Below are 22172 nucleotides of genomic sequence, written 5' to 3' on the forward strand. Positions count from 1 at the left end.
GTAACAAGTGTTTAGAGATCCCTAGATCAGGGACTCTGGGGACAGTTTTTAATTTACTGATAAGTAAAGTTTTAAAATGTGACATCTTTGAGTACTGCTGCCCTAGTCTATTAAACAAAGAGAAGCAATTCCCAGGCCAGGATCATCCTACTAACCCAAACCTGATAATGCTGATGTGGCCCAGGGCTGGCAGGATGGCCTGGACTGTAACTAGGCATCCCCTGCTTCCATTTGCAGACATGTGGCTTTGCCCTGATGGAGACATAGTGACAGATCATTTTGTACTACGTAGGTACAGATCCAAAGGGCATCTTAGGCTGGCTGTCATTAAGTTCCAGTGAGGAACACCTGTCTTCTTCAGTTCCTGTTTCTCCAGTTTGCATGCAGCCTCAGCCCATCAGAAGGCAGCGGATAAGAGTTCCCCCTTGGATGGCTTTAAGTTGGCAAACAGGGGTAGAAAAGAGGCCAAGCTGCGTGGTGGCAGGCACCTGTAATCCCAGCTACTTGGGAGGCCGAGGCAGGAGAATTGCTTGAACCCGGGTGGCGGAGGTTGCAGTGAGCCGAGATTGCGCCACCGCACTCCAGCCTGGGAGACAGAGCCAGACTCTGTCTCAAAAAAAAAAAAAAAAAGAAAAAGAAAAAGAAAAAAAAAGAAAAGAAAAGAGGAGAAGTTCTGAGTTTCTGAGATGGGCTGGAAGCACATGGTCACTACCCATCAGCTGGGCGGTGCTGGGCAAGTTGTTTGACCTGACAGTTTGGTCATCTGCAAAAAGGGATAAAAGTACAACTATTTCATAATAAAACAGCAATCTTTGTGGCTCTATACTATGACGAGTACTATTATTTACATTAGTAACAAGCTCTTCTCAATTTCTAGTAGCCGCTTAGGTTTACCCAATGATAATGAATCAATCAGGAAAAATGGTGTCCCTGTGAAGAGACTAGTTAACCAGAAATAAATAAAAGCTATGGATACCAGCAATGGAACTACACTAGTAAAATCGCTTCCTATTTTCCAAAAGTTTGGGCTTAATCTTCAGACAACATGTTCTGGATAAAAAATGTGAGCCAGGGACAGTGGCTCATAGTATAATACCAACACTTTGGGAGGCCGAGGCGGGCGGATCACTTGAAATCAGGAGTTCGAGACCAGCTTGGCCAACATGGCAAAACCTTACCTCTACTAAAAATACAAAAAGTAGCCGGGCATGGTGGCACGTGCCTGTAATTCCAGCTACTCACTCGGGAGGCTGAGGCATGAGAATCACTTGAACACATGAGGTGGAGGTTGCAGTGAGCTGAGATTGCACCACTGTACTCCAGCCTAGGCAGCAAAGCAAGACTCTGTCTCCAAAAAAAAAAAAGTGAACAATGTCAGCACCATAGGAAAGGTAAATTTTTTTTTTAAATGGGAACAATGGAAAGAAGAGTTACAGTCTTAAAATAAACATATCCTCGGCTAATTGAGAGGACAGCCTGGGGTCTGCCCAAGGGCAGGGAACTGGGCCTCCCTCTTCTGCTTAGTCCCCTGGGACTTAAATTTCCACATTAAAAATACTCTCTCATTTATTTTTACTTCTTTGTCGGGGGAAGAGGGTAACGCCACGGAGATGGTGAATTCAATTTCTTGGACCACTAGGGATATTATTTAGTAATGGAGGTAAAAATATGATATTGTACTAGTTATGCTGTATGTCAGGGCAAGAATCTAATTTCCACTTTCCTTAATGTTATCATCTGAATAAAGTGATTCAAATTAATCAACAATCTGCTTCTAAGAATTTATCTCATAGTATAATAAAAAGTAGTAGCAGTAGATAGATAAAATGTGGTATATCCATATGGTAGAATATTATTCAACAACAGCTACAACATGGATAAACCCTGAAAACATCATGGTAAGTGAAAGAAGTCGATCCCAAGGCGCCGCATACTGTATATTTCATTTATATGAAATATCCAGAATAGGCAAATCTACACACGGACAGTGGATTAGTGGCTGCCTAGGGCTGGAGTCGGAGGTGAAGGGAAATAGGGAATGACAGCTAACAGGGACGGAGTTTCTTTCTGGGTTGATAAAAATGTTTTGTTTTGTTTTGAGACAGTGTTCCACTCTGTCCTCCAGGCTGGAGTGCAGTGGCACAATATCAGCTAACTGCAACCTCTGCCTCCTGGACTCAGGCAATCCTCCCACCTCAGCCTCCCAAGTGGCTGGGACTACAGGTACACACCACCACACCCAGCTAATTAAAAAAAAAAAATTTTTGTAGAAATGAAGTCTTGCGCCGGGCACGGTGGCTCACGCCTGTAATCCCAGCACTTTGGGAGGCCAAGGTGGGTGGATCACTTGAAGTTGGGAGTTCAAGACCAGCCTGGCCAACATGGTAAAACCCCATCTCTATTCTAAAAAATACAAAAATTAGCCGGGTGTGGTGGTGGATGCCTGTAATTCCAGCTACTTGGGAGGCTGAGGCAGGAGAATTGCTTAAACCTGGGAGGCGGAGGGTGCAGTGAGCCGAGATGGTGCCATTGCACTCCAGCCTGGGCAACAAGAGCAAGACTCCACCTTGAAAAAAAAAAAAAAGAAATGAGGTCTCACTATGTTGCCCAGGCTGGTCTCAAACTCCTGCGTTCAGGCTATCCTCCCGAGGCCTGCCTCAGCCTCCCAAAGTGCTGGGATTACAGGCATGAGCCCACCATGGCTCGCCTTGGTAAAAATGTTTTAATACTGATTTTGGTGATCATTACACAACTCAGCAAATACACAAAAGACCAATGAATGGAAATGGATGAGTGGCATGGTATGGAATTCAATCTCAATAGAGTCATTATTAAAAATAGAAGTAATCGTAGTTATTGGGCTGTATTAAATGCCAGCCAATATTCTAAGCACTTTTATAGATTATTTCATTTAAGTCTTATGAGAAACCTATGATGCGAGTACCATTATTATCTGCATTTTACAGATAAGGAAATTCAGCTACAGAGAGATTAGATAACTTGCCCAAAGCTATTTGGCCAGGAAACAAGAGAGCCAGGATCTGAATTTAAGCCATCTGACATCACAGGCCAGTTCTCAACTGCTGCCCATGTACACAAACGTATGGACTCCAGGAGGGGCCCTGCAGTGCTGGTTCTGGCAGGACTTCGGACACAGTCTGAGCCTCAAATACTAAACTGGTGCCAAAGTAATTGCAGTTTCTGCCATTGAAAGTAATGGCAAAACTGCCATTACTTGAGCACCAACCTAATACAAGCTGGTATTTTGTCCACTGAAAAAAGTGAAACAAATCTGCATATCCTGCTATGGAAAGACCAGGACAACAACAAGGTATTTAAACATTGTGTCTTTTTTGCTCCCATTTGCATTTTTTTTTTTTTTTTTACAAAAAGCTACACATGCAAGTGTACCCATACTTGACAAGTTTCCATAATTTTTCATGAAAAAGCATTAACTGTAGCTTTCTCTGAGAAGCAGGTCAATGGTGACAGGGACATTAAGGTTTTTTCTGGATACCTTTTGGTACTGTTTGATTTTAATTTTTTTTTTTTTCTTTTGAGACAGAGTTTCGCTCTGTCGCCCAGGCCAGAGTGCAGTGGTGCGATCTCAGCTTACTGCAACCTCCACTTCCCAAGTTCAAGCGATTCTCGTGCCTCAGCCTCCCAAGTAGCTGCGATAACATGCACATGCCACCACACCCAGCTAATTCTTGTATTTTTTGTAGAGAGGGGTTTCACCATGCTGGCCAGGCTGGTCTCGAATTCCTGAGCTCAAGTGATCTGCCCACCTTGGCCTCTCAAAGTGCTGAGATTACAGGCGTGAGCCACCACACCTGGCCAAATTTTTGAATTTTTTTGTAGAGTTGGAGTTTTGCCATGTTGCCCAGGCTGGTCTCAAACTCCTGACCTAAGTGATCCTTCTGCCTCAGCCTCCCAAAGTGCTGAGATTACAGGCATGAGCCACTGCGCCTGGCCTGATTTGAATTTTTAATAAACCATGAGCCTGGTGGGAGCCACCCAGTCGTGCTCCAGTTTCAACGGAGCCTTCTCTAACTCAACCACCTCCCACCCTCTTGGGTATCACAGGCTCAGAGCCACCATTTTGTTTTATTTGTACCTCTTGATGCCTCATGACTCTGCCTGTCTAGCCTGTAAGTGTCCTGAGGACAGACACCGTATTTGTTTCTTGCTAAGCAGGGGCAAACACATAGGCAGATCCCCTCGGTTCCCATCAGAGAAACAAATGAGTAAATGAATTAAAGTCAAACAACTTGACCTCACCTGCCAGCCTCAAGGTCATGAGCAGTGACTGGTGGAACAGAAGAGTGTCACGCTGTAAACCATGTCTGTCATATGAACTATGTCCCCGCTAGCACTGGGAACACTGTGACCTAAGAAGTCTGGAGTGGAACTCAAGTAAATGATTTATTCCTTTGATTAAACACATTTACTTTCATCTAGTCCCAGAGAATTTATGGAGCCATAATCCCTTCCATCTCTAATGCTGTTCATTATCTCTTCCTAATTAATGAAGGTATGTAAATTCATTGATCTAAAACTTTGCAGGCATAAACGTTACTCAGGTAGTGATCCAGCCCCACACTGCTAACAGCTCAAGCTTCATCACGTTCTACCAGTTTTTAAATTACACATGTTATCAGACAAGATTCATTTAATTTTGCAGCTAACAGCTACAGCTGATTATGCTGGCTGCTAGATATTTATAGCAACTCTTGTTGAATCTGTACTGTTAACCTGCTTAGGATATAATTAATAAAAGAGATTTAACTGTCTGACATAATAGGCAGCTTTGTATGATATAAAATATGCTTTAATGTGCTTTCGGGAAAAAAAACATTAAGAAAGGTATATTATCCAAGTGAAATTTGTTACATTGCTACCTTGCAGATCAATACAAAATTTCTTCACAAGAATATTTATGGATGATGACAGTGGTATTTCACTCAAATAATATATAAAGAAAGAAGGGAATGGTAAATTTTTTCTACAAACCAAATAATACATATTGAATAGAACCTACCATGGCTTTCCAATAAACTACTTAGGAACTGGGGAAAAACCATACAGAATTTGAAACATGCAGGTGACTTTCTAAATTCTGGGTTCGCGAAATATATGTCCTCACCCGTTCTGGCATTCAAATGCGCCATTTTCCAACCTCTCATTATTTTTTTTCATTCCACATTCTGATCACTTGACCAATTACCTGATAATTGAACCCCTTTGGGATCATGCTCCTTTTCAGTGCTTCATTTCGTTGCAGAAAATAGGCCCATCAAGGAGGCAAAATGTTCTAACTCCAGGAAATGAGTGTTTAGAGCAAAAACAATGAAAAAGAAGATGTAAATAATCCAGTCAGCTAAGCACAAGCTAGAAAGACACTCGCTTTGTCTATGGCATGTTGATTTGCCAGGGGATTGTGCAAACTTCTGCAGAAGGCGTTCATTAGCTCCAGAAAACCCCAAAGGGAGGCAGAGGCGGGTGCATCACCTTAGGTCAGGAGTTCGAGACCAGCCTGGCCAACATGGTGAAACCCCATCTCTACAAAAAAAATACAAATATATATATATATAGAGAGAGAGAGAGAGAGAGGGAGAGAGAGAGAGAGAAAGAGAGAGAGAGAGAGCTGGGTATTGTATTAGTACATTTTTGTGCTGCTGATAAAGACATACCTCAGACTGTGAAGGAAAAGGGGTTTAATTGGACTTACAGCTTCACGTGGCTGGGAGGCAGAAGGCGTTTCTTACATGATGGCAGCAAGAGAAAAATGAGGAAGATGCAAAAGCAGAAACCCCTGATAAAACCATCAGATCTCGTAGTATGGGGGAAACCACTCCCATAAGTCAATTATCTCCCACTGGGTCCCTCCCACAACACATGGGAATTATGGAAGTACAATTCAAGATGAGATGTGGGTGGGGACACAGAGCCAAACCATATCAGGTGTGGTGGCGGGCACCTGTAATCCCAGCTACTTGGGAGACTGAGGCAGGAGAATTGCTTGAACCAGGGGGGCGCAGGTTGCAGTGAGCAGAGATCACGCCACTGCACTCCAGCCTGGGTGACGGATCAAGACTCCGTCTCAAATAAAAAGAAAAGCAAAAACAGAAAACTCCAAGGAAGCACAGGAGGTAGGCTCTAGGACTCTTCTGCTCAGAGGGCTGGTCTGGTGTCTCTGATCAGACTGCCATAGCCGATTTGCCTAACGGCCTCTACAATCATGGTCTGCTATGAGCGACAGCATTCCCAGGTGGGAGCAGAACACAAGAGCATTCAGATCCCAAGTCATTTTGGCTCCATGGTTGCTCAGAGGTCCTCATTTTTTTTTTTGAGTCATGGAGCCTGTATCAGTCATGTGCTCCAGGGAACCAATAGGAGATACACAGATATGTAAGAGGAGGCTTAGTAAGGGAATGGGTTCACAGGGTCACAGGGGCCAAGAAGTCACACCATCTGCCATATGTAAGCCGGGGGTTTCATTCAGTCTAAATCCAAAGGCCTGAGAATCAGAGAAACTGATGGTGTTAGTGCTGGTCTGAATCTAAAGGTCTGAGAACCAGGAGTGCCGATGTCCAGGGGCAGGAGAAGGTAGACGTCTCAGCTCAAACAGGAGGCAAATTCATCTTTTCTCCATCTTTTTGTTCTATTCAAACCCTCAATGCATTGGATGATGCCTGCCCAAAATAGTGAAGGCATATCTTCTTCATTCAGTCACCCTCACGAACACACCCAGAAATCATGTCTTCTCAGCTATCTGGGCACCTCCTAGCCCAGCCAGGCAGACACGTAAACTGAACCATCACCAGGTCCTTGAAGGATCTGATGAGAGCTGTGGACCTTCTCCCCACTGCAGTCCCCAGAGCATCATCACGACCTCAAGCATCTATGCAAACACACTGGACTTTGCAGAGCTGACAGGGCCCACTGGCTGGATGAAGCCCATCCATGGAGCTCACACCCAGGTAAAGAAACCTACGCCGAGAAATTGCCCTACTGGGGTGCAGTGGCTCATGCCTGTAATCCCAGCACTTGGGAGGCTGAGGCAGGCGGATCATCTGAGGTCAGGAGTTTGAGACCAGCCTGGCCAGCATGGTGAAACTCCATCTCTACTAAAATATAAAAATTAGCTGGGTGTGGGGGTGGGCACCTGTAGTCCCAGTTACTTGGGAGGGTGAGGCGAGAGAATCACTTGAACCCAGGAGGAAGGTTGCAGTGAGCAGAGATCGCGCCACTGCACTCCAGCCTGAGCGACAAATTGGGACTCTGACTCAAAAAACAAAAAACAAAAAAACCCCTGCCCTATTGGACACTGTATGACTTAGTGCCCCAGAAGGAAAGTTTCATAAAAATTTTCTTTAAAGATAAGATTTTCCAGGAAAAGCTGAATTCCTCTTAGATACGGATAAGATGTTGTTTCTTTGACAACCTCTCTCTGGCTGAACCTTCAACTGAATTCTATCAACCAAAAGGACTCTTAAGACCTTTCTGTTTCGCCCTGCGGTTTTGTCTTCCTATATGAACTTTTATTTTCTTTGGTCCTGACATATTTCTTCTCTACTGTGTGCTTTTGCTCATTTTAAGCCTTCTCAAATGCTTCACTGAACAAATAAATAAGGCGAGGCTCTCTGTTTTCACTTTTTGATCTAAACACTGGAACCCAGACGGAAAGATTATGCTTTTTATTTTTAACCTAATCAAAAGGCAACTGTTAACTAGTCCCTATTATTGAGCTCTTGCTACTTCTTTTCATTGAATAATCAAATATCCACACTTTTCTAGCTACGATTAAGACTTCTGGCCTTTAATTAAAGGTACAGTTTCACCATTGAGTTTATATTTTGGTCAATTAAAATAGCCACATGTTGACCATGAAAAGGTACCTCCAAAAAGTCAAAGAACAAGAGTATGTGCGTATGTACACACAGGTGTGGGCTCTTATTCTGGGGCCATGGGGATCTGGGGTTCATCCTGTGAACTTCGATGGGAGGAAACCAGTTTTTTCATGAACTTCTGATATTTAGCATTTCCTTCTATTATGAAGTTAGTAGAAATTACAGAGGTATTAACAACCCCCTTGAATTTCACACCAACAGAGATCACATGGATTTTTTTTCCCATCACATCACACTTGTTGCAGATTAATTCAGGGTATGGTTTAAACTCACTGCCATTTTTTCTTTTTCTTTTTTTTTTTTTTTGAGACGGAGTTTCACTCTTGTTGCCCAGGCTGCAGTGCAGTGGCACGATCTCGGCTCACTGCAACCTCCACCTCCTGGGTTCAAGCGATTCTCCTGCCTCAGACTCCCAAGTAGCTGGGATTACAGGCACATGCCCCCACACCTGGCTAATTTTGTATTTTTAGTAGAGACGGGGTTTTACCATGTTGGTCAGGTTGGTCTTGAACTCCTGACCTCAAGTGATCCACCCGCCTCAGCCTCCCTAAGTGCTCTGATTACAGGTATGAGCCACTGTGCCTGGCCTTAAACTCAACTGCTATTTTGAAACTATGACAGTTATTAGCTCTGCTATTAGACTGTGTTATATAATAGACCAACACATGAATTATTACTATATCCAATAATTTAAAAAATATTTTGATAACCGTATTTCAATAGAATTGGTTTCCTCGAAAATCCTAGGAACTTTATTTTGTGTATTTAGAAATATTATTCTGAGATGGGATCCAGGGGCTTCAGCAACTTGATGAAGGAATCCGAGGCACAAAATGGGTTAAGACGCCGAGACTTGGAATAAAGGACTGACAGCAGCCAGTGTGTCTCCTCTGCCGGACTGCCACGTAGAAAATGCTGGCAGGGGTGGAAGGGCGATCACACACCTAATCAGAAACAACTTTTTAAGTAATATTCCCAGTTCCCTAATTAGTCATATAAGGTAAATTAGTTCCAACCACTTTTAATCAGCCTCAGCAGAAGGGCGGCATTGTCACTGATTGCCTGGATGATTTCACCGGGCTCATACTGGATGTGAAGGAGTGCAGGAGCCAGGGGGCTTGGCTGATTGCTCCCAGGTTACTGCTCAGCATTCGACCCACACGCGACCTGCTGGAAAATCTGAGCACAGACAGCCCCGGCCCATTCCAGAGGCTGGTGATATTTCAACTATGGCATCACTCTCTTGCACGCATAGAACTCCCTTTTTATGTTTCTCTGTGTTAAACTGTAGGGTAAATTGTCTTTAAATCCTGGCATTTCTTGGAGCCTGGTGTAGACACTTAAACATAACAACGCAAGGCTAATGACACAGCTGCGGAAATAAACGTGATTTAACTGAGCCTCTTTAAAAACAAAACCAAACAAAACAAACAGATCCTACTTTAATATGAACAAAACGGTTTCTGTTCAATGGAAATGTTCTGAGTATCTATGACATGGTAGGCGGTGCAGGAACTTATTGCTTACATGAAAGGGATGGAGGCTGTTGGCTACAAATAAGAGATAGCATGGAAGAAAAGTCCTGGTCAGTCCCTGTCCCTGAGAGATGTTCCCCAGAGAACTGCTAAGAGAACGGCCTGGTGTGCTCTCAGTGCAAATGGCGCTGAGGCAGATTCTAAACCCAGGCAACCCTCTTGGACTTCAAGCCTAAAGAAATACTTACCTGACTGTACAACAGCACGTCTGAGGATGCTCACAGCAGCACTGTTCAAATTAACTCCCACCTGGCGTTACTGCAAGATTAACCAATTATGAAATCCCCATCCACAGAACGCAATGCAGTTATTAAAAGCCTCACATGTATGTACAAATGTAAGGTTTTCTAGACAGATGGAAGGAGAAAAAGTAAATCACACAACAATGTGCACAGTATGATCACGTTTGTATTTAAGAAAAGCATGCTGACCAGGGCGTGGTGGCTCACACCTGTAATCCCAGCATTTTGGGAGGCCAAGATGGGTGGATCACCTGAGGTCAGGAGTTTGAGACCAGCCTGGCCAACATAACAAAACTCTCTCTACTAAAAATACAAAAATCAGCCGGTGTGGTGGCACACACACCTGTAGTCCCAGCTACTCGGGAGACTGAGGCAGGAGAATCGCTTGAACCCGGGAGGCAGAGGTTGCAGTGAGCCGAGATCGCGCCATTGCACTCCAGCCTGGGTGACAGAGTGAGGCTATATCAAGGAAAGGAAAGGGAGGGCAGAAGGAAAGGAAAGGGAGAGAAGGAAAGGAAAGGAAAGGAAAGGAAGGGGGAGGGGCGGGGCGGGGCTGGGAAAGGGTGAGCATGCTGACATTGATGCACACTTTTGACCACAGTGACCCCGAGGGAAGCACTTAGGGGGTGGTCAAAGTTTATTTTAAATATAGATTTTAAATTTACAAGGAGAATGTCTCTACATATTACTTGTAGAATTTAAAAATCTAATAAAGTAACAATAAAAAGATCCGTATCTACCCTCATTTAAATCCTACAGGAGACTAGGATGACAACAACAAAAAACACGGAGAACTTCATGTTTCAATATATCTACATGTATCTATATTCCTTATTTCTAAGTGAAGCACAGATTTCTGTCTGTTTCATTCACTAACACAGCACAAACATCTAGAATAGTGCCTGGTGCAAAGTAGACTCTCAATACAGATTTGTTAAATAAATGAATTGACTATTTATTCATGTGTTCCAGAAAACTGTACTGGGTGCCTACCATGTGCTGGCTTCTTGCTAAAGATCACGGGAAACAAACTGTGAATCATTTAACCAGCATTCACTGAATACCTTCCACGTGCCTTGCACTGGGCACTAAATGAAAGTACACACCAATACGGACACACAGACACACACACCCCCACTGCCCTTTAGGAACTTGGAACTAAGCTTGGGAGAAGGCGAACTAGCAGAGGTTGGAGCAATGAGATAAGGCCTTTTCCTGGCCAGAGCCTCAATCCTGGCTTTGGTTTTCAAAATTATGCCTCCGAGGCTTTGCTTATTATGGCCTGTCTTGTACCAGAATTATGTTCATGGGTTTGTGTCTGCCCAGCTGGAGGAAAATGAGTATCAACCTTCCTGGATTGTGGAACCACAGAAAAACAAAGGGCTTTATTCTTTGCCTGAAGCCCAGCAAACCAAAGCATTCTTTGTTCAATGGCTTTATTTCCCAATTCTATACATTCATTACAGAATTAGAAACCTCCCAGTGGGGGTCAGGCATGGTGGCTCATGTATGTAATCCCAGAACTTTGGGAGGCCAAGGCAGGTGCATCACCTGAGGTCAGGAGTTTGAGACCAGCCTGGCCAACATGCAGAAACCTTGTCTCTACTAAAAATACAAAAATTAGCTGGGCTTGGTGGTGCATGCCTGTAATCCCAGCTACTTGGGAGGCTGAGGCAGGAGAATTGCTTGAACCCGGGAGGCGGAGGTTGCAGTGAGCTGAGATCGTACCGCTGCACTCCAGCCTGGGCAACAGAACAAGACTCTGTCTGAAAAACAAAACAAAACAAAACAAAAAAAAACAAAATTCCTAGTGAGGAAGGAGTGTTGATGGTCATTTGGCCATGGCTACTGTTATCAGGACCTTGGTCTAGGCCTTGACATCTAATTGAAGGTGAACAGCTACCAAACTAGATGAATTAGAAGTTTTCAGGTCTCACTGGGGCATTTTCCTGATAGAAAAGCCTAACTCCTTTCATCAGTAATTCTACTTTACTTCCCCATAGCATCTCCCATTCTTAGACGCACTCTACTGATTTGCTTCCTCTCCTCTCCAGACTTTTGCAGCCATATCTGCACAAATCCAGCCCTTCTTTACCTTGAAGTTCAGACTTTTCTACCTAAGTGGATTATTCTGCTTTATCTATAGCAAATATCACTTTTGTGCATGCTCCCTCTCCTCCATTTGTTGGAATCATTTCTAAATTCAATTCCATTTTCATATTGAGTCTCTTTGGTCCCAATAGAAATGGTCCCCAAAATTCAAATATCAGATGTCTGGGACCCTTTTAACTTCTGAAAATGCAGTTACTGGGCAATGGATGTGCGAAAGTTAACTCGGGGAATGACATTAAATCAGAAAAGCCTTCTGTTTTTAGTGATGAAAAGCTTCTTCATCTATAAATCCCAAAGTATCAACTTTGCAGATCCATAAGCTCTTATCCCAAACCCCCTAGGCCAGATCTCATTTGAAATTCCAAGTTTTTCTAACTTTAGAATGGTAAGACAGGTCATAGAACACATATTAAACAATACTTCAAGCTGGGACTCGGGCAGTGCCCTGTAATGAAATCCAGTAATATTTTGTTAGCAAAACATATGAATATGCTCACTAAATATTGGGATCAATAAAGACCATAAACAGCCCTTTGTCACTTGGAAGGCAGTTTTGCCACCAGCTTAGTTTCAAACTTAAGAAAAAACTCTTAGTTTTCAGAGCTTTCTGAACTTTTGAGATGGTAGGTAAGGGGTTATGTACAAGTGCAAGACCCAAACGAAAGAAGCCATTGTAGCTCTCTTAAGCATTCTGCATAAAGACCCTTTTAAAGTATATATGTGTGGCCGTTTTCCTGAACATCAAAGGGCTATTTTGGAAGTCCTGTAAGAAGAGGTCATCCTGCGTTATTCAGTGTTGTGTAAAAAGCAAAGCAAAACCTACAAACTTAAAGCATTTCCCTTTAAATGCTGAGCATGTGTAAGTCTAAAGGAATAATGGTTCTCCTGATATACACCATTATCAGTTAAAAGGAATGTTCACAAACCACTTGCATACACACAAGATTACATTTAATACATTAAAAAGTGGCCCCGACTCGGCGTGGTGGCTCATGCCTGATAAGTCCAACACTTTGGGAGGACGAGGCAAGCAGATCACTTCCAGCCAGGAGTTCAAGACCAGCCTAGGCAACATGGTGAAACCCCGTCTCTACTAAACATACTAAAATTAGCCGGGCATGGTGGTGCACACCTGTAACTCCAGCTGCTCGAGGCTGAGGCATGAGAATTGCTTGAACCCGGGAGGTGGAGGCTGCAGTGAGCCGAGATCATGACACTGTACCCAGCCTGGGCGACAGAGTGAGGCTGTGCCTCAAAAAATAATAAAAATACATAAAAATACACAAATAAATAATAAAATAAAAAGTGTCTGTCTCAGCCACCCACGTGAACAATCTGTGGTGATTTGGCATCACCGCGATTCCTGACTCTCAATTTACATGCTACCAGTAAACAATCATTTTGTTACACCTATTCACACCTAAGTACTTAACAGTAAAAAATATGACACACCATTAACACGGGAGAAAACAGTGTGCCCAGGGAAACTAAGCAGCACAGTGGCATCACTGGAATACCTGCCTCAGCTGTTCAGCAGCAACAGATGACAGCAGGCTTCCAGTCTCCACCCACAATGCTGCGTTCTGACTCAAAGGCTCCTGTGCACTGTATTTTATTTTTTCAGGTGAGAAGAAACATCAGAAGCAGTTGAGGGACCAGAAAGTGAGTCCGCCAGGGATGAGGAGGCATTCTGCTAGATGGCTTTTTAAAAATGTTCCCTCCAAGCTGGGTTCAGTGACTCAACACCTATAATCCCAGCACTTTGGGAGGCGAGGAGGGCAATCACTTGAGGTCAGGAGTTCAACCAGCCTGGCCAACAAGATGAAACCCCATCTCTACTAAAATTACAAAAATTAGCCAGGTGTGGTGGCAGGCGCCTGTAATCCCAGCTACTCAGGAGACTGAGGCAGGAGAATCACTTGAACCCGGGAGGCAGAGGTTGCAGTGAGCCGAGATCATGCCACTGCACTCCAGCCTGGGGGACAGAGTGAGACTGTCTCAAAAAAAAAAAAAGTTCCCTCCAGAGTCATCTGCCTTATTAACAAGGGCTTTTGTCTTAGAAATCTCTTTTATTAACTGACACAATTTCTTGATCTGTTATGAATGCATGCTGTTCTAGTCCTTCAAAAGCTCACCACACATTGCTATGGTTTAAATATTTGTGTCCTCCAAAACTCATGTTGAAACGTAATCCCCAGTGTGGCAGTTCTGAGAGGTGGGGCTTTTAAGAGGTGGCTGGATCGTGAGGGCCATGCCCTCATGAATGGATGAGTCCATTCATGGATTAATGAATGAATGAGTTAGTGGATTAATGGGTTATCATGAGAGTGGGACAGGGTGCTTTTTTGTGTGTTTTTTGTTTGTTTGTTTGTTTGAGACAGGGTCTTGCTCTGTCACCCAGGCTGGAGTGCAGTGGCATGATCACGGCTCACTGAAGCTTGGACTCCCAGGTTCAAGCAATCCTCTCGCCTCAGCCTCCCAAGTAGCTGGGTCTACAGGTGTGCACCACCATGCCTGGATAATTTTCTATTTTTTGTATAGACGGGGTTTCACTATGTTGTCCAGGCTAGTCTCCAACTCCTGAGCTCAAGCAATCCACTTGCCTTGGCCTCCCAAAGTGCTGGGATTATAGATGTGGGTCACTGCCCTGGGCTGGTGGCTTTTTAAGAAGAGCAGAGACCCGAGTTAGCACACTCAGCCCCCTCCCCATGTGATGTTCTGTGCCACTTTGAGAGTCTGCAGAGAGAGTCCCCACCAGCAAGAAGGCCCTCAGCTGATGTAGCCCCTTGACCTTGGACTTCTCAGCCTCCATAACTGAAAGAAATAAATTTCATTTCTTATAAACGACCCAGTTCCAGATATTCCATTATAAGCAACAGAAAACAGACTAAGACACACATTTTCACCATGTCATCTATGGGTACTTTTCCTGCAGCACTGCCATCATCCTCATCATCACTACTATAGGTTGAGTATCTCTTATGCAAAATGCTTGGGACCAAAGGTGTAGAGTTTTCCACTATGGTGTCATGTCAGTGCTCAAAAAGTTTCACATTTTGAAGCATACTGGATTTTCAGATTAGGGATGCTCAATCTATCAGTGCTTCTTGAACCTCATTGTCCATACAGTTCATCTGGGAATCTTGTTAAAATTCTGATTCAGATCCATTAGGTCTGGGCAGGGCAGAGATTCTACATCTCTAACAGCTCCATCTGCTGCTCTGGGCACCACCTTCTGTCTGACCAGCCAGGCTGCAAAACGAAGCGCACAAGGTTTGGAAACAGATGAACAAGAGTTCCCAGTTTACAAGCTGAGTGGCCTTGGGAAAAGCAATTCACTGCTCTGAGCCAGTTTCCCCATCAATTAAAATGGAAATAGCAATGACACCTCCTTTGCAAGACTGTAATGAGTAGATAAGATAGTAACACAGTTCCTGGCAGATAACAGACCCTGAATTCCAGTCCCTGCCATCTGCAGTAGGCTGAACAATGTCCCTCCAGAGATGTTCGACATCCTAACTCCTGGAACTTACAAATATGCTACCTTATATGGCAAAAGGGGAATCTGCAGATGGGATTATGTTAAGGATCTTGAGATGGAAACATTATCCTGGGTTATCTGGATGGACCTAATATAATCACCAGGATCTTTACAAGAGGAAAGCAGGAGAATCAGAGTAACAGAATATGAGAGGGTGGAGCAGAGGTCAGACGGGAGAAAAGGTGCAATGCTGCTGGCTTTGAAGGCAGAAGAAGGAGCATGAGCCAAGAAACGCAGTTGGCCTCTAGAAGCTGGAACCCCTAGAAGGAACACACCGCTGCAGGTTCTTGTTGGACTTCTGACCCCTGGGATGGTAAGAGAACTGTTTGATTCCACTAAGTTGGTGGTAATTTGTGATAGCAGGAACAGGAAACTAACATACCATCCTTTGGAATAATACTGATATGGTTTTGCTGTGGTCTCACTCAAATCTCAACTTGAATTGTAGCTCCCACAATTCCCACATGTTGTGGAAGGGACCTGGTGGGAGGTAACTGAACTGGGGGGGTTCTTTCTCATGCTGTTGTCGTGACTGTGAATAAGTCTCACGAGATCTGATGGTTTTGTAAAGAGGAGTTTCCCTGCACAAGTTCTCTTCTCTCTTGTCTGCTGCCATATAAGATGTGCCTTTCAGCTGGGCGTGGTGGCTCACGCCTGTAATCACAGCACTTTGGGAGGCTGAGGCAGGTGGATCACGAGGTCAGGAGATCGAGACCAGCCTGGCCAACATGGTGAAATCCCGTCTCTACCAAAAATACAAAAATTAGCCGGGTGTGGTGGTGTGTGCCTGTAGTCCCAGCTACTCAGGAAGCTGAGGCAGGAGAATCGCTTGAACCCAGGAGGCGGAGGTTGCAATGAGCCAAGATCATGCCACTGCACTCCAGCCTGGGCAACAGAGTGAGACTCCATCTCAAAAAAAAAGATGTGCCTTTCGCCATCTGCCATGATTGTGAGGTCTCTCCAGCCACGTGGAACTGTGAGGCAATTATTCTTTTTGCTTATAAATTACTCAGTCTGAAATTTGTCTTTATCAGCAGCATGAAAACAGACTAATACAAATACTAAAGCAGGCTTGCCTCCCTTTACAGAACAGAGGACTTCCCAGGGCTACATCATCAACTGAAACTAAGTCACAGAATAGTTGCCCAAGTGCAGCTGAATACATGAAGAACTCTTCAAGGAAACTTTATATCAAGGGAAGAATTATTCCTGTATTAACTGTTTTTGTGTGGTTATGCCAATTTTTAATAAACAGGGATGAATGTATATGTTAGTAACAAACTGTTCTAAAGGCTCAAAGGAATCTCTTGCACCCTAAAGGTATCATCATGTTCTGATTTGTCAGCTTCACACGTAATTGCTGAAATCTAACAAGGCTTCTGGGGACAAAACCAGTGGGTCGATACCTCAGCATCAGGAGGACTGACAAGAGTAACCCTAAATTAAGAGTGAAGGATGAAAATCAATGGGTCTCAGTATTTGCACAAATGTTCACTTGCTACTTACAATGTGGCTTACCCCATAGAGGAGCTTTATAATAGAATAAAATACCAAGATAACCCAAAAGATGCCTGCAAAACAAAAATGTGTTTCAAAACTAAATGGACTTTGTGTGAAACAAAGAAGCCTGTATCTCTTAAGGATTTTCCTATGGGCTTGGCACCAAGGACTCCTCTTCCCATCACATTTTTGTGCTTCTCTGCCAAGACTCTAGTTCCACAGAAAGACCTGGTCTCTTGTCTCCAATATTACATCCATAGCATCTAACACTGTAATTGGCACTTAGTTTGCACACAGACATTTTTGTGGATGATAAGTACTATAATAGATATTTATAAGAAAAAGCATATTATTACTTTCATTAAAAAAAAAATGAAAGTTCTTTTTTTCTATTTTCTTTTTTTTTTTTTTTTCTTTTTTTGAGATGAAGTCTTGCTCTGTCACTCAGGCTGGAATGCAGTGGTGTAGTCTTGGCTCACTGGATTCTCCACCGCCTGGGTTCAAGCAATTCTCCTTCCTCAATCTCCCAAGTAGCTGAGATGACAGGCCCACGCCACCATGCTGAGCTAATTTCTGTATTTTTAGTAGTGATGGGGTTTCACCATGTTGGCCAGGCTGGTCTCGAACTCCTGACCTCAAGTGATCCACCCACCTCGGCCTCCCAAAGTGCTGGGATTACAGGTGTGAGCCACCATGCCTGGCCTTTCTCCATTTTCAACTTAAATCCACTTGGCCCAAGATATTTTCTTTTCTTTTTTCTTTCTTTCTTTCTTTTTTTTTTTTTTTTTGAGATGGAGTCTCGCTCTGCTGCCCAGGCTGGAGTGCTGTGGTGCAATCTTGCTCATTGCAACCTCCACCTCCTGGGTTCAAGCGATTCTCCTGCCTCAGCCCCCCAGAGTAGCTGGGATCACAGGTGTACACCACCATGCCCGGCTAATTTTTGTATTTTAGTAGAGACGGGGTTTCACCATGTTGGCCAGGCTGGTCTTGAATTCCTGACCTCAGGTGATCCGCCCACCTTGGCGTCCCAAAGTACTGGGATTGCAGGTGTCAGCCACTGTGCCTGGCCAGGGCCAAGATACTATTTATGGTAGAACTAAAAGTATGCTTTCTGATTTTATTTGCCTATTAATATATGCATTTGATAATGAAGAATGTGCTAAGTAGTCAAAGCAAATAATTACTTTCTAGTGTCTAACCCTGTCTATGAGCTAAATGAGAGGGAAACCACTTATTGCATATTAAAAAATGGTAACTAGTTTTAAAATGCTCTGTTTAATCTCAAACCACAATATTCAAAACAGTTACATTCCTTTCACTGGTTCAATTAAAACCCCAGAAAACAGTCCAAGTCTCCAGAACAAATTATACATTCTGCTTGAGTTGCACTGCATGTAAAATTCACGTTCAAAAGTTTGCCAAGTCACATTTATGAAGTCTTGACCAACTGGCGGGGCTGATCATAAAAACTATATCTTTTAATTTATAGTGTTTAATGTATATTCAGTGTATCTTATTTAAAAAGCAACATAATTGCATGAAAAACTTTTATTTTAAATCTGATTTTGAAATATGACTGAATACATCAACAGAATTCAGAACAAGTTGGTAAACATCTACGAGAACATGTTATATAATTCCAGTGAGCCCTATAACATTCTGTTTTTAAAGAGAAGAAACCACTGAACAGAAAAATTTGAAATCTTCTTTTCTTCTTCTTTTTTCTTAGAGACAGGGGCTCTCTCTGTTGTCTGGAGGCTGGAGTGCAGTGGTACGATCATGGCTCACTGTAGCCTCAAACTCCTGGACTCAAGTGATCCTCCCACTTTAGCCTCCTCAGTAGCTGGGACTACAGGCATGCACCACCACGCCTGGCTAATTTTTTTTTTTTCTTTTTTGAGACTAAGCTTCCCGCTCTATCACCCAGTCTGGAGTGCAGTGGCGCGATCTCAGCTCACTGCAATCTCTGCCTCCCGAGTTCAAGCGATTCTCCTGCCTTAGCCTCCCAAGTAGCTGGGGTTACAGGTGCCTGCCACCACACCCGGCTAATTTTTATATTTTTTAGTAGAGACAGAATTTCACCATGTTGGCCAGGCTGGTCTTGAATTCCTGACCTCAAGTGATCCACCTGTCCCGGCCTCCCAAAGCACATAAGCCACCGCGCCCGGCCATTCTCATGTTTTCATTATGGGTTTTGTTCTAGATAAGTGGGCTGCCAGAAAAAAGAGCCACCATGAGGAGGAACTGATACACTCAGGCTTACTACAGGGTACCTCGGCTTCTAAAGGAGTTAGACATCATCACAGAACTCAGAGCCTCGGTTTACAAGGTACAACTAGCCCCAGACAGACACCCACACCCACTGCTGTGTTTTCTGCAATGGTCTAAGGTCCCCTGCCTCCCTGAGGGACAGGAGCACTCTCCGTTTGCTTATACCTGCTTGCTGGGCTTTATCTTTGCCTGGGAGAAAAGGACATCAGAGTAGGCAAAATAAATAGGAAGAGAGTTCTAGAAGGTGTCTGTCATCGTTGAATTTCCAACATCTCACTTTTTTCGGGGGAGACTGTCCTGTTCTTTAGGGCACGTGGTTGCAGTGGAGCTGACCCCACACTCTGGTGGAAGGGGGCCATGTGAGCCAGAGGGGTATGAGCCTGGGACTTTGTTTTTTGTTTGTTTGTGTTTTGTTTTTTTGAGATGGAGTCTCACTCCTTCACCCAGGCTGGAGTGCAGTGGCACAATCTCAGCTCACTGCAACCTCCGCCTCCTGGGTTCAAGCAAGTTTCATGCCTCAGCCTCCTGAGTAACTGGGACTACATGCACCACCACGTCTGGCTAATTTTTGTATTTTTAGTAGAGACGGGGTTTCACCATGATGACCAGGCTAGTCTCGAACACCTGAGCTCAAGTGATCCGCCCACCTCAGCCTCCCAAAGTGCTGGGATTACAGGCATGAGCCACTGCACCCGGCCAGCCTGGGACTTTGGACCATCCAGAATAAGGCACTTTCTTTCTGTTCTGGTTTCTGACAAAAGGATACAAATGTAGACCTCCCAGGAGCCACTATCTAGAGAGAGCCTGAACGTAAATGAGGTCAACCCAGAGAAAGGCAGATCAGAGTGATGGAGAGACCAAGTCCTTATAACCAAGCTGACCCCCTAGATCCAGCTGTACCTGCAACCCAGGTCTGCTCCCAGACTTTACAGTCCTATTAGGCAACACATACCTTAAAAAAAAAAAAAAAAGGGAATCCTGTTTTAAGTTGGATTTCTGTCACTTGCAACAAAAAAGCACCAACAAATAAGGGAGAAATAAAAGTGTAAGAAGAAAGGAAATGAGGAGAGAAGATTATATTTATGGATATAGTGTCTGGAAGCAGTTCAAGTTTGTCCCTGGAAATGCAGAAAGGTGATGTGTGGGAATCTGTTCCATTTTTCATATTAAGCTCAAATCATCAGAACTGTAGCTGTGCCTAATTACTGTGATTAATCTCGCCAAACTCTAAATATAACATGAGTGTGCACTTTCTGATGTTCAATGATACTGCAACAATCATGAAGCGAAAGAACGGTCCATGACTGAGCAAAGATGCCTTCGAAGCAAAATCTTTTTTTCTCCTGCCCAAATGCAGTCATGACCGGCTGAAGGAGAAAAGGTCACAAGCGATGACCCGAGTCTTACCTGGCATGGCGTGGATGAGGTCGCCGCACAGAACGAAGAATTTGGGTTTGGGGTTCAGCTTGTTGATGGCCTGGACGGCTTGCTCAGTTAGACGGATCTCCTGTTCCCATTCGTCACCGCCATTGTCACAGTCCCCAGTGGACCAGGCCTTGATCAGCCCAAACTGTGGGTCTGCGCCCAGGATGAAGTAGAATGGGCCTTTCCATTCGCTTTCCTTTTCTTAAAAAAAGAGAGAGGGAGAAAGAAGGAGAAATCTTGTAAAATCTGTCATAAAAGCAACCAGCTTCCCATGCAAAGTGGATACACTATTTTTCTTAAATTAAGTAGGTCATTTTAATAAGCTGTGGTTCAAACATACCATTTTCCTGTCATAGTCTAGAGGATTTTGATTTATACTAATTATGCCTGGGACCTGGTGATACCCAAAGGCCAGAACTGTCCACGTGGGCTTCTGCAGCCACACCACCAAGCTGTTTGCTGACAAGCTAGACAGCCAAAAGGAAGCACGGGCCACAAGAGAACCCAATGCAGAAGATATTCGTGCTCCATAATCGTCTTTAAATTAGAATAAAACTCCCCAAATTGAATGCTGCCAGAAGTATTATATTTAAATTACTAGGTGAAGTGCTTACACATCTTTTCTGTGAGGCTTCGTGGCACCATTTCCACCGTTTCGGGGGATGTGACAGAATTTTAATTATAAAACTTGGCGCTTGGAAGCTCTGGCTATCTGGTGGGAGGTGTGGTGCCAGAAATGAAATCTCGGAATGAGTAAGTCAATGTGGGAGAAAAAAAAAAGAAAAAAGAAAAATCGATGCTAACATTTCAAAGGCAGTAGGATGTGGGCATCCGTGAGGTGTGAGGCTGGGGGTGGGGACTCTTTTATGTTCTTGGAAAGGGATCTAGGCCACCTGAAATCATTCTGCTTGCTCTTCCGACTGACTCTCCTGGGCCAAAGCTTTGTGGGTCTTAGGGTTTCTACTCTTATCTGCCAGAACTGCCGCGCCAGTGCCTGCTTGGGCAGAGCTGGAATGGCCATTAATGGGCACAGAAGTGCTGTGGGTTTCACTTTTTAAAAAATTATTTGGCCACAGAATCCTTTCCATAATCAAAATCGTACATGACAGACCAATGTTGAAAAAACATTCCAAGCAAAGAAGCTTGCTCTTACAGAATAGCATCTGGAACTTCCAATGCCAGAGCCAGATCTGGGGCTGGACACGGCACAGTCTGAGGACCCCCGATCTACAGCCCCCTCATTTATCCTCTGAAGAAACTGAGGCCCGGAGAGGCAAGAGAACTTGCTAAATGGCCTGCTAGCGCTTAGTGGTGGGACAGAGCTGCTCCATCACCTTGAGGCTGTTTTTTTTTTTTTTTTCATAATTTAATGTATGGCCAGGTACAGTGGTTCATGCCTATAATCCCAACACTTTGGGAGGCCAACATGGACGAATCACCTGAGGTCAAGGGTCTGAGACCAGCCTGGGCAACATAGTGAAACCCCATCTCTATCAAAAATATAAAAATTAGCCAGGCGTGGTGGCTAATTACAGGTGGGCACCTGTAATCCCAGCTACTTGGGAGGCTGAGGCACAAGAATCGCTTGAACCCGGAAGGCGGAGGTTGCAGTGAGCCAAGATCACGTCACTGC

The 22172-nt window shown here is 44.0% G+C and overlaps 1 protein-coding gene across 2 annotated transcripts in view; it reads right to left on the reverse strand.

The window, feature by feature from the left end:
- CPPED1 (calcineurin like phosphoesterase domain containing 1) overlaps positions 1-22172 on the reverse strand; it is a 144089-nt gene that overhangs the window by 100865 nt on the left and 21052 nt on the right. For both annotated transcript variants that reach the window (NM_001099455.2, NM_018340.3), the window contains exon 2: positions 20522-20740. In NM_001099455.2, coding sequence (NP_001092925.1) covers positions 20522-20740 — 219 coding nt within the window. The remainder of the gene's footprint in view (positions 1-20521; positions 20741-22172) is intronic.

The sequence above is a fragment of the Homo sapiens genome, chromosome 16 (genome assembly GCF_000001405.40).
Source record: "Homo sapiens chromosome 16, GRCh38.p14 Primary Assembly".
Lineage (NCBI taxonomy): Eukaryota > Metazoa > Chordata > Mammalia > Primates > Hominidae > Homo > Homo sapiens.